General features: G+C 37.6%; 1 protein-coding gene across 6 annotated transcripts in view; it reads right to left on the reverse strand.

Moving 5' to 3' along the window:
- The window catches only part of ENTHD1 (ENTH domain containing 1), a 150,717-nt gene that overhangs the window by 28,626 nt on the left and 108,114 nt on the right, over positions 1-13,977 (reverse strand). The window lies entirely within an intron of this gene.

Genomic DNA, 13,977 nt, shown 5'->3' on the forward strand with positions numbered 1-13,977 from the left:
AGGATAGCAGAATGACACCATTTTTTTTAATGCTGAAAAAAAACTGTCAATGCAGAATTCTATATCCAGCAACAATATTCTTCAAAATTGAAGGCAAAATCAAAACATTGTAAGATAAACAGAAACTAAGAGAATGAATTGCCCGTAAAACTTTATAACAAGAATTGTTAATGGAAGTACTTCGGGTTGAAGACAAAGTACACCAGATGGAAAGTTGGATCTTTGGGAAGAAATAAAGAGTTCTAGAAATGGAAAATATATAGGAGAATGTAAAAGATTGTTTTTACTCTTAATTTTTTAAAAATAAAATATATGTAACTGTTTAGAAAATGTAACAATATGTGTGGAGTGTTATAACAAATGTAAATATAGTTTAAACGACTATAGCAGCAGTCCCCAAGCTTTTTGGCACCAGGGACTGGTTTTGTGGAAGACAATTTTTCCACAGAACAGGGTGTGGTGGGGATGGTTTGGGGATGAAACTGTTTTACCTCAGATCATGTGGCATTAGATTCTCATAAGGAGTGTGCAACCTAGATCCCTCGCATTGCAGTTCATAATAGGGTGCTCCTATGAGAATCTAATGCCGCTGCTGATCTGACAGGAGGCGAAGCTCAGGTGGCAATGCTAGCCCACTTGCTTCTCACCTCCTGCTGTGCGGCCCAGTTCCTAACAGGTCACAGACTGGTACCAGTCCGTGGCCCAGGGGTTGGGGACCCCTGGACTATAGCATAAATGATGAGATGGTAAATAGGCCTATATGGTTGCAATGGTGACACAATATTAACTCTAAATAGACCGTGAATACCTAAAGGTGTATAATTTAATCCCTTGGTATAACTACCAAGTCTAATAGGTAAAGTGGAATTCTAAAAATTATTGACTTAGCTCAAAAGAAGAAAGGTAGGTAGGAACAGAGGAACCAAACACCGACAAAACAAGGAGAAAGTAATAGAAAAATAGCAGTTGTAAAGCCAACCATTTCAATAACCACAGTAAATGCAATTAACAGGCACAAATTTTCAGACTGGATAAAAAAGATCTAATTATATGCTGTATACAAGAGACACCCTATAAAAACAAAATTGCAAATGGGTTGAAAGTAAATGCTTTATAAAGATATACCATGGAACGATAAGTATAAGAAAGCTGAGTGGCTATAATAATATCAGATAAAATACACTTTGAGACCATGGTATTAGTAGAGATAAAAAGGGATATTTCATAATGACAAAAGGGCCAATCATCTGGAAGACACAAACATAAATGTATATATGCCTAAGAACAGTGCTTTCAAATACATGAAGCAAAATCTGACGGAATTAAAGAACTAGCTAGGCGCAGTGGCTTATGCCTGTAATCCCAGCATTTTGGGAGGCCAAAGCAGGTGGATCTCTTGAGCCCAGGAATTTGAGAACAGCCTGGGCAACATAGTGAGACCTCATCTCAAAAAAAAAAAAAAAAAAAAAAAAAAAAAGAACCTCAAGAATTAAAGAACTGGCCAAATCCAACTAAGTCATATTTAGAGAGTTTAACATCCTTTGCTCAGTGATTGATAAAACAAGTAGACAAAATATCAGCGGGGATCTAGAAGACTTAACATCAACCACCTTGACCTAACAGACATTTATAAAGCTCCTATGGCAGAAAACACATTTTCTTTGCAAGCGTGCAGGTACACATGGTCTATTCACTGAGATGGTCCATGTGCTGGACCATAAACCAAGTCTCAATAAGCTTTAAAAGCCCAAAGCCTTCTATTAGGTTCTCTGGACACAATGGAATTGAATGTAGAAATAACAATGTACTTAGAAGAAACTCCTAAATATTTGGAAATTTAGAAAACATACTTCAAATACCCATGGGTCAAAAAAGAAATTTATACATTTTAAGCATGTACAGTTTATTGAATGGTAATTATACCTCAATAAAGCTGCTAACCTCATAGCTGGTGTATTTTTTGGTTTCCTGACCAGATTCTGACAGATATAATGCTTTAGGAAAATTATTGCTGTATCATTCATTGCAATTCTCTGGGGTTGGGAGATAATAGAAATAAGAAAACCAGGAGACCAATGAAATAATTCAGATTGTAAGGTTAATTTAATACCAAAACAAGTACTAAGCAACTACAAATTTAGGCATTGCTTTAGGTTTAGAGGTATAAAGATGTGTAAGAGATTCAAACAAATGATGTCTGAACCAAGCTAAAAGCATGAGAAAAAAGTCAAGAGAAGAAGGACACAAAAATTTCCAAGTAAAGGGAACAATTTCAGCAAAGAAATGAAGGCTGTACACAATGTGCTGTGTGGTAGTGGCAGGGCAGGTACAAAGCATTCAGCGTTACGAGTGCACAGTGCACACAGAGAGCAGAGGAGCTCAATCTAGAGACATAGACAGAACCAGGGCTGGCAGACGTCTTGACAGACAGGATTGATGAGAAAGAATGAAACTGAAATCTTAAGACCATTTCTTTGAAACTCATTCCTCTTCAGATGCCTCCAACGAACTTTGCTGGCTCTCCTCCTATCTGTCTAGGCAATCTTCTCAACATTCTTCCTGGCCCTGTTTCCTGTGAAATGTAAACAGTCTGTCCTTGACTTTCCTCTTCTGCCTTTACAATCTCCCAGGATGATGTCATCTATTATTATACTTACACTAGATCTAGATGGTCACCTGTGGGCAAGTAATTCACACATATTAATCCTGAACCCTGACCTCTGCTGATTTTTAGCCCTAAATATCTACCTATTTCTGTGTTCAGGGAGGTCTTATCATCCTCCAGCCTCCTCATCCTTGGGTGTTTGCTTTACCTCTGTTAATATGACCATCAGCTTCCCAGTCACTCAGGTTATTTTGGAACTATGGTTGTTACCACAACTTCTAAGAGGTCTCTCCAGCTTACCCCCTCAGTCCACTCTACACAGCCCAGCCAGAGTGACCTTTCTAAAATGAAAGTTAGATGTTATTTCTCCCCAATACTTCTTCAAATTATTTAACATGGTTTACAAGGCTCTGCATAAATTAGTCCCCATTTACCTCTCTTGCCTCATCTTGTGCTACTATTCTAAAGCTGTATGATCCAGCTATACTTCTTTCAGTCTTCAAATTCTATGCTCCCTCTCAGCACTAAGCCTTCACCCGTGCTGATATTTTTGTCTGAAATGTTCCTCGTCTCTTTATATCGAACTGATTTTCAGCTTCCAGATTCACGTCCCTTAAAAAAACATACATTTCCATGCCTCTGTGTTTTTGCTCATGCTGTTCCCTCAGCCTAGAATATCCTCTTCCTCACCCTTCTTCTCCATCAAAAATGGTTTCATTCTTCAAGGTCTCATTCAAACACAACCTCCTTAGTGAAATATTTTATCCTTCACGTTAAAATGAATCCATTTTCTCTGCTATTACATAGTACAATGTGAATACTCACATTTTTCATTGATTTCATTATTTCAAATATTATTCATTCATTTGACAAATACTAAGTACAAGGATGTCTTAGACACTTTTATAAGCTCTGGAAATACAGGGGTAAACAAATTTATTATTTATAACTTCTTATATGTTTATAGAACTGTCACCTATAGGGTACTGCAAACCCCTCAGGTCACAGATCCTATTCAACTTGTTTAACCCATAGGCAACTAGCAGAGTATACCTGTATTCACTTGATAAGTGTGTGTTCAATGAATCATAAGCTGGATGATTTGGTCATTAAAAGACTCAACTGTAGAGAAAGGAGAGGTCTTTATTTAGTCCCTTTGATCCCAGAGATCAAGTGACTTGCTCGGGATCACACAATGATTAAAGAGCAGAACTAGAACTAGAATCCCAGATTCCCAAATCCCAAATCAATGTTATTTACTAGGGGAATAAAAGAAGGAACAAAAAAAGTATGGGAGAATCAGCTGCACCAGGTTTTTCTTTACTAACAATTCTAACAGCTTGATGTGTACATGTTCATAACGTAAAGAGACTCGATTTCCCCTCGGGCTCACTCCATTTGTCCCTGGTGCTACTCCTGGAGGTGCAGGACCGTGGGAATGGGAATGGAGTTGAGTCAGCACACAGCTGGCCTCTGTATCTGTGCTGCTTGCCTTCTCCCAGGAAGATGGCTTTGGGTAGATGCTTTCTTGAATATATATAATGCAGCATTTGTGGAAACTTTTCTGAAGTCCACAAGAACTTGAGGAGATTTGATGGAGAACTGCAATGAATACTGTCTTTTTTTCTTTTTAAGGGGTTGGGGGCAGGTTCTCATTCTGTCACCCAGGCTGGACTGCAGTGGTGCGATCATGGCTTACTGCAGCCTGGCCTGCCCAGGCTCCCACCTCAGCCTCCCAAGTAGCTGAGGACCATAGGCACATGCCACCACATCTGGTTAATTTTTTTTTTTTAATTAGTTGTAGAGACGAGCTCTTGCTATGTTGCCCAGGTAGTCTCGAACTCCTGGGTTCAAGTGATCTACCTGCCTCAGCCTTCAAAAGCGCTGGGATTACTGGCATGAGCCACCACACCCAGCTAAATACTGTCTTTGTATGTTTGAACACAAACATGTAAATGTATACTCTGTAAACACTAAACTGATTGTTTCATGAGGACTTTCCAACCTTTGCTGGGAGAGAATTTCTCTGAATTCCACTGAAAAGGCAGAGAGGAGTACAGGTGAATTAATGTAGTTGGCTTGCTTTATCTGCCTTCTCATTTTCTTTCCATTTGAACCTGAATGTCAAAGAGCTTTGTTCTCGAGGATCTATCCAGCTGACTCCTAGACAGGAAGCCCAGTATTGAATTATGAGACTATACCCAGTATTCTTTATCATACAGTGCTTTTATACCTGCCAATATAATTGACTGATGCAAAATGGGACTTTGACACATGAGTCTCATTAAAGCTGGCTTGATTATTCTTGACAGTTATCTTTTAGGTATCCTTTAGTTTGTTCCCTATGTAAGACATCAGGCTGCAAATTTAAATACAGACTATCATGAAAATGACTGAAGTAGGAAAAACAACAAAAACACCTCCATGCTTTGAGCCTAAGGACAAAAGAGAATAGCTAAGCTGTTAAAGTAACTAAGAATACTTTTGCCAGTTTGCAGATGACGATGAAATCTGTTGAAAGAGAACTTCAGATTTGCTACTGAGTTAAGAGATTTTGCCTGCAGATAGGAACATTCCACCCTGCTACCTCTTTTTCATTTTGCAATAATACCATTGCATTGTTTCAGGTGTTACAATCATTGTATATTATTTTGTATTCATTATTGTGAATCTTAGTAGTGGGGTTATATTCCAACAGAGTTATTGCTATGATCTTGCCCTTGTTCTGATACATAGTATCCAATTACAGCTACAAAGCAGAGAGCTGGCAAGCAGGACAAAAGATGGATGCCAAAATATGTCTTTCTGTAGTTTAAAAATGTGTAACTGAAGGAGCTTCTACTTTAGTAATTAAGTCAATCAGAGGAAATAGAATCTGAAGGTAATAATAAGACCATTTTGCTAAGAGGCCACAGTTATAAATTAATATAGAGGGGTGACTTAAATTGCTTATTAAATGTATTGGTTTAAAAGACAAGCAACCAAGTTAAAATGAATATTGAATGTGCAACTTAAATAACATGCTTGACATGAAAATTTTAATATATTTTTTCTTACAGTACATGCATAAAACCTAAATAATCATAACAAGTTAGAATAGCTATAATCTCCCTATGATTGTGTGCGTGTGTGTGTGTGTACACAGTTGTAGGTCCTGAGAGTTTTATCATATATCATGACATATAATTGTAGTGTATATTATACTCAAGTATTAAAATAAGAAAACATAGTTTTAAAACACAGTGATGAAATATGGCAAGCACCATTTACTACCACTTCAATATAAACTTGAAATAATGGCTTAATTTCTCATGGACAAATACAGATCTGGACACATGTAAAGGTGCTTTTTTTCATGTAACTTGCTTCTTCTATAAAGGTGCTTTTTAAAAAAATAAGTGGGTCAGCTAAAGACTTTCCTGCCATTAAAATGGATTATAATGAATGGATTATAAAACAGGTAGAGGGTGCTCATTGTTAAATTTTATACCATAGTTAAGGTTCCACCAATTATAAAAACCATAATTTCCCTCAATAGATTATAGTTATAAAAATGAAAGCTGAAAATGTCTTTGTGAAGCTGGCAATCTTTATCTATTGCAACGTTTCCTGTCTTTCCGCTAGTGAGAGTTTCAACGGAGCCTGGTCTCTGGTATGTGGATGGTCTCCCTGCTTTATAAAGCATGCCAGGCTGAACAAGATGAGCAGGTGCCTGAGGGCACAAGAGTATGTGGCCATCAGGCAATGACAATAAAACCCTACAGGTGATTATAGAAGACTGAAAATGTAAGCTAAATTGGGTCAGAGGTTTAATTCTGACGTGAATTAAATATATGGAATGCTTGAAAAGGTGCCTGGCACACAGCAAACTCTATTTAGTCATGGTTATTGGTATCATGAAACAGTCTGAAGAAGTGGGATTACAGGGAGTTCCTGCCATGGCCCTGACTGGAAGTGGATGGGAATGTCAACAAACCAGGTGCTCTCCCTTCCCCGTAGATACTCCTGTATTTATGATCTGCAAGCATGATGCATTCTCTTGAACCTGCCAATTCTAGGAAGGGGGGTATTTGAGATCAAGAGAACTGGTATACTATGTAAATATGACAGTGATATGAAGAACTATAACTCTCAGACATATGCCCTATTAGATATACAGACCACTAATACACTTTTAAACTTCGACACAGAGTAAAAATCACGTCTAAGTCTGCAACACTGAAACAAGCCTTTAAATATCATTTCGATCATAAATTCAGATAAAGTATTATTTCTTGTGAAACATAAATGTTCTATTATTCAAAATAAGCAAAAAAGACACCTATTAAAACTTTAAATATTACAGTATACCAGAGAACATGCCCCTTTGGAAACACCTTACTGAATACCTAAGATGGCAAATACCATTTCTCTTCTTCCAGACAGAGGCAGTTGTATGGTCCTTGTTCTTACAGCTCTTTCCTTATATTTTTATAATATGACTTACAGGACTATACTATAATTTATCTACTAATGTTTCTCTTGCTTTTTTTATTCCCATGCCTTACACATATTTTCATTCATGCAACAAATATTTTTGAGGACAGACCATGTACTACAAACGTGCCCAAGAATACAAAAGCCAGAATCATTAGGCCAGTGAAGCCTTTAAACCTTAAAATTATTAAGCACAGAAGATAAAATAACTACAGATATACTTAATGTGGTTAGAGAAATAAAGTATTTCTGAAAGATGTGCAAGGTATAAGAGATTATAAAAACAGGCCAGGTGTGGTGGCTTATGCCTGTAATCCTAACACTTTGGGAGGCTGAGGCAGGTGGATCATGAGGTCAGGAGTTCGAGACCAGCCTGGCCAACATGGTGAAACCCCATCTCTACTAAAAACACAAAAATTGGCCGGGCATGGTGGTGAGTGCCTGTAATCCCAGCTACTTGGGAGGCTGAGGCAGGAGAACTGCTTGAACCCGGGAGGCAAAGGTTGCAGTGAACCAGGAGGCGGAGGTTGCAGTGAGCCAAGATCACGCCACTGCACTCTAGCCTGGGCGACAGAGCAAGACTCTGTCTCAAAAATAAACCAAAACCAAAACCAAAAACAAAAAACAAAACCAAGCAGATTTAACAAAGATCCAAATAGAACTTCTAAAAATGAAAAATAACAACTGAAATTTTAAAATAAATTGGTGAACAAGAGCTGGGAGAATTCACTACCATCAGACCTGTCTTACAAGAAATGCTAAAGGGAGTTATTTAGTCTGAAAGAAAAAAGACAGTAACATGAAAGAAAAAAAAAAAAGAAATTTGAAGGTATAAAACCCACTGGCAAAATTAAGTACATGGACAAGCCAGAATACTCTAATACTGTAACTGTGTTGTGAAATCCACTTCTAACTCTAGTATGAATCCCCAAAGACAAATCTATCAAAGACAATAATAGCTATTGCCATCTGCTAAGAGATGGGTAATATAAAATATGTAAATTGACACATACAAAAGTCAAAATGTGGAGGGGATAAAGTGTAGAAAGTTTTTTTCATTTTTTCTTTGTTTCTATTATTTTCTTTGTGATCTAAAATAAGTTGTCATCTCTTTAAAATAACTTGTTATATCTATAAGATGGGTTTTTTTTGGTAAGCCTTGTGGTAACCGCAAGGCAAAAACCTATAATAGATTCACTTAAAATGAAAAGCAATGAATTAATACATACTACCAGAGAAAATCACTTAACCGCAAAAGAAGATAGAAGTTACAAAAGAACCAGAAAGCAAGCAACAAAATAGAAGTACTAACTCCTTACTTAACAATAATAATACTGTGGGGGCTGTGTGTGGTGGCTCATGCCTGTAACTCCAGGACTTTGGGAGGCCAAGGCAGGTGGATCACTTGAGGTCAGGAGTTCGAGACCAGCCTGGCCAACATAGTGAAACCTTGTCTCTGCTAAAAATACAAAAAAAATTAGCTGGGTGTCATGGCATGCGCCTGTAGTCCCAGCTACCCAGGAGGCCGAGCCAGGAGAATCACTTGAACCTAGGAGGCAGAGGCTGCAGTCAGCCAAGATCACACCACTGCACTCCAGCCTGGGTGACAGAGCAAGACTAGTCTCAAAAAAAAAAAAAATACTGTGGACTCAATTCTCCAATTAAAAGGCATAGAATAGCTGAATGGATAAAGAAATAAACCCAACTATATGTTGCCTATAAGAAACCTACTTCACCTATAAAGACACATATAGACCAAAAGTGAAGGGGTAGAAAAAGATACTCCATGTAACTGGAAACCAAAAAAGAGTGGGAGTAGTTATACTTATATCAGATAAAACAGACTACAAACCAAAGTCTGAAAAAGAGACAAAGACAGTCACTATATAATGATCAAAGGGGTCAATTCAGCAAGAGGATATAACAATTATAACACTGAAGCTCCCAAGTATAAAAACAAATATTAGGCCGGGCACGGTGGCTTGCGCCTATAATCCCAGCACTTTGGGAGGCCAGGGCAGGCACATCATGAGGTCAGGAGATTGAGACCATGCTGGCTAACACAGTGAAACCCCGTCTCTACTAAAAATACAAAAAAATTAGCCAGGCATGGTGGTGGGCACCCGTAGTCCCAGCTACTCAGGAGGCTGAGGCAGGAGAATGGTGTGAACCCAGGAGGGGGAGCTTGCAGTGAGCCGAGATTGCGCCACTGCACTCCAGCCTGGGCAACAGAGCGAGACTCCATCTCAAAAAAAAAAAAGCAAACAGTAGATCTAAAAGGATCAACAGACTGCAACACAAATAATATTAGAGGACTTTAATACCCTATTCTCAGTAATGGACAGATCATCCAGACAGAAAATCAACAAAGAAACATCAGAGTTAAACTACACCCTAGACCTAACAGGCCTAACTGACATTTATGAAACATTTTACCCAACTGCTCCAGAACATAAGCTCTTTTCTTCAGCACAAGGGCCGTTGTCCAGAACAAACCATATCTTAGTCCACAAAATGAGTCTTAACCAATTCAAAAAAGTAGAACTAATATAAAGTATCTTTTTGGACCACAATGGACTGCAACTAGGAATCAATAACAAAAGGAACCTTGGAAAGTTCACAAACACATGGAAATTAAACGACATGCTCCGGAACAACCAATGGGTCAATGAAAGAAATTAAGAAGGAAATTTAAAAATTTCTTGAAACAAATGAAAATGGAAATACAACATATGAAAATCTATGGGATACAGCAAAAACAGTGCTAAGAAGGAAGTCTATAGCAATAAATGCCTACATCAAAAAAGTAGGAAGACTTCAAATAAACAACCTAACAAGGCACCTCAAGGAACTAGAGAAGCAGGAATAAACCCAAACCCAAAATTAGTAGGAGGAAAAAATAATAAAGATCAGAGAGAACTAAACAAATGAGAGACTAAAAAAGCAATACAAAGGATCGATAAAACAAAAAGTTGGTTTTTTGAAAAGATAAAAAAAAATTGACAAACTTTTGGTTAAACTAAGAAAAGAAAATGAGAGATGACCCAAATAACATCAGAAACAAACAAAAAATAGACATAACAACAGAGACTACAGAAATACAAAGAATCATTAGAGACTATTATGAACAACAATATGCCAACAAATTGCAAAACCCAGAAGAAATGGATAAATTCCTGGACATATACAACCTACCAAAATTGAACCATGAAGAAACAGAAAATCTCAATAAGCCAATAATAAGTAACAAGATTGGCCGGGCATGGTGGATGATGCCTGTAATCCCAGCACTTTGAGAGGATGAAGTGGGAGGATCACTTGAGGCCAGGAGTTCAAGACTAGTCTGGCCAACATGGCGAAACCCCATCTCAACTAAAAATACAAAAATTATCTGGGCATGGTGGTGCATGCCTGTAACCCCAGCTACCCGGGAGGCTGAGGCACAAGAATCGCTTAAACCTGGGAGGTAAAAGTTGCAATGGGCTGAGATTGTGCCACTGCACTCCAGCCTGGGCAACAGAGAGAGACTCTGTCTCAAAAAAAGAACCAGTAACAAGATCAAAGCCGCAATAAAAATTTTCCCATCAAAGAAAAGCCCAAGACCTGATGGCTTCACTGCTGAGTTCCACCGTAAAAAAGAACTAATAGCAACTCTACTCAAACTCTTAAAAAAAAAACTGAAGAGGAGAGAATACTTCCAAATTCATTCTATGAGGCCAGCAGTACCCTGATACCAAAACCAGACAAGGACACAACAAAAAAGAAAACTACAGGCAAATATCACTAATGAATATAGATACAAAAATTCTTAACAAAATACTAATAAACCCAATTCAGCAACACATTAAAAAGATCATTCACCATGATAAGTGAGGTTCATCTCAATGATGTAAGGATGATTCAGTATAAACAAATCAATAAACATGATGCATCACATCAACAGAATGAAGAACAAAAACCATATGATTATTTCAATCAATAGATGCAGAAAAAGTATTCAATAACATTTAACATCCCTGGAACATACCTCAACATAATAAAGGCCATATATAAGAAACCCACAGCTAACATTGTACTGAACAGGGAAAAATTGAAGGCCTTACCTCTAAGATCTGGAACAAGATAAGAATGCCTGCTTTCACCACTTATATTCAATATAGTATTGGAAGTCCTGGCCAGAGCAGTTAGGTAACAGAAGAAATAAAGGGCATCCAAATTGGAAAGAAAGAAGTGAAATTAGCCTTGTTTGCAGATGACATGCTCTTATACTTAGAAAAACCCAAATATTCCACAAAAAATTGTTAGAACTTATTAACAAATTTAGTAAAGCTGGAGGATGTAAAATCAACATACAAAATTCAGTAGCACTTATATATGCTAACAATGCACAACCTGAAAAAGAAATCATAAAAGCAATCCCATTTACAATAGCTACAAGAAATATAGCATACCTAGGAATAAATTTAACCAAAAAAGTGGAAGATTTATACAAGAAAAACCACAAAACACTGATGAAAGAAATTGAAGAGGACCTAAAAAATTGGAAAGATTTTCAATGCTCAATGACGATAGTACCAAAAGCAATTTAGGATTCAATGCAATCCCTATCAAAATATCAATGACATTCTTCAGAGAAGTAGAAAAAACAATCCTAAAATTTATATGGAATCACAAGAGACACTGAATAGCCAAAGAAGTCCTGAGAAAAAAAGAATAAAGCTGAAGGCATCACACTACCTCACTTTAAAATTTACTACAAAACTAGAGTAACCAAATCAGCGTGAATAAAAAAACAGATGCACAGACCAATGGAACAGAATAGAGAACCCAGATATAAATCCACATATTTACAGCCAACTCATCTTTGGCTGTAAAAGGTGCCAAGACACACAATGAAAAAAAGACAGTCTCTCCAATAAGTGGTGCTGGGAAAACTGGATAACTATAGGAAAAGAATGAAATTAGATCCCTATCTCTCGCTATACACAAAAACCAAATGAAAATGGATTAAAGACTTAAGCCTAAGACTTGACACTATGAAACTACTGAAGAAAACATTGGGGAAACACTCTAGGACATGGGCCTGGGCAAAGATTTTTTGTGTTAAGACCACAAAATCTCAGGCAACCAAAGCAAATTTAGACAAATGGAATTACATCAAGCTAAAAAGCTTCTGCACAGCAAAGGAAACAGTAAACAAAGTGAAGAGGCAACCCACAGAATGGGACAAAATATTTGCAAACTACCCATCTGACAAGGGATTAATAATCAGAATATATTAGGAGCTCAAACAACTCATTAGCAAAAAAAGATATGATTAAAAATGGGCAAAAGATCTTAATAAACATTTCTCAAAAGAAGACAGACACATGGCCAACAGGTATATGAAAAAAAATGCTCAACATCACTAAACACTCGAGAAATGTAAATCAAAACTACAATGAGATATCATCTCACTCCAGTTAAAATGGCTGTTATCCAAAGACGGGCAGTAATGAGCGCTGGTGAGAATGTGGAGAAAGGGTAACTGGCGTATACTGTTGGTGGGAATGTAAAAACAGTACTGCCACTATGGAGAACAGTATGGAGGTTCCTCAACAAATTAAAAATAGATCTACCATATGATCCAGCAATTCTACTACTGAGTATATAACCAAAAGAAAGGAAATCAATACAACAAAAAGATATTTGCATGCCCATGTTTATTGCAGCACTATTCACAACAGCCAACATATAGAATCAACCTAAGTGCCCACCAATGATGAAGAAAATGCGCTCTCTCTCTCTCTGTATACACACACACACACACACACACACACACACACACACACACTAGAATATTCAGCCATAAAAGAGAATGAAATCTTGTCATTTGCAGCAACATGGATGGAACCGTAGGTCATCATTTTACATCAAATAAGCCAGGCACAGAAACACAAATATCTCATGTTCTCACTCATATGTGGGAACTAAAAAAGTGGATCTCATGAAGATGGAGAGTAGAGTGGAAGTTACCAGGGGCTGGGAAGGGTGGAGTGGGGATGCAGGGAAGTTGATTAATGGGCACAAATATGTACAGTTTGATAGAATAAATAAGACCTCATGTTAGATAGATCAGTAGAGTGACTATAGTTTACAATAATCTATTGTATATTTCAAAACGGCTAGAAGAGAAGAATTCAAATGGTTCTAGCATAAAGACAAGTATTTGAGGTGATGGATATCCCAAGTACACTGATTTGATTTTTACAAATTATATAAATGTATCAACTTATCACATGTGCCTTGAAACTGTGTATATTTATTATATATCAATTAAAAAATAAAATGGTGGATTAAGACAACAGATTAACCCCAGTTGAAGAGGAAATTGTGAACTGAAAGATGCAAAGAAATGATTAAAAAATACAGCACAGAGCTCAAAGAGATAGAAAATATGGAAGCTGAATTAAGAGAAATGCTGATGGAGTGAGGTCTAACATCACATCTAATCAGAGTTCCAGCCCTCCTCAAGTCTGAGTACCTGCCCCATTCCACATCAGCCACTCTGTATTTGAAAGGTTCCCCGATATATCCGGTGCCATCTCACCTCTGTGATTTCACCCTGGCTGCTCTCTCATCTTGGGCAGCTCTTTTATTTCTTTCCCTTTTCTTATCTGGAAGTCGGCTTTGATCTGCTTTGATCTTCCCCCACACCCTCTGAGCTCAGCTCCTCTAGGGTGTTGGAACAGAGGGTGGAGAGTAAAAGAGACAACTATCTCTCTTTCTCATCTGGCCATGGTTGTAGTCACCTTTGTGTTGGTTGTTGCTGCCTCTTTGGCTAATGTGGCCATCCATGCCGTCTGTATGGCGGGTCCAAATGCTGGCTTTCTCATAGGTTAAACATGAGAGTTCTT

This window comes from Homo sapiens, chromosome 22 (genome assembly GCF_000001405.40).
Source record: "Homo sapiens chromosome 22, GRCh38.p14 Primary Assembly".
In the NCBI taxonomy this organism is placed as follows: Eukaryota; Metazoa; Chordata; class Mammalia; order Primates; family Hominidae; genus Homo; species Homo sapiens.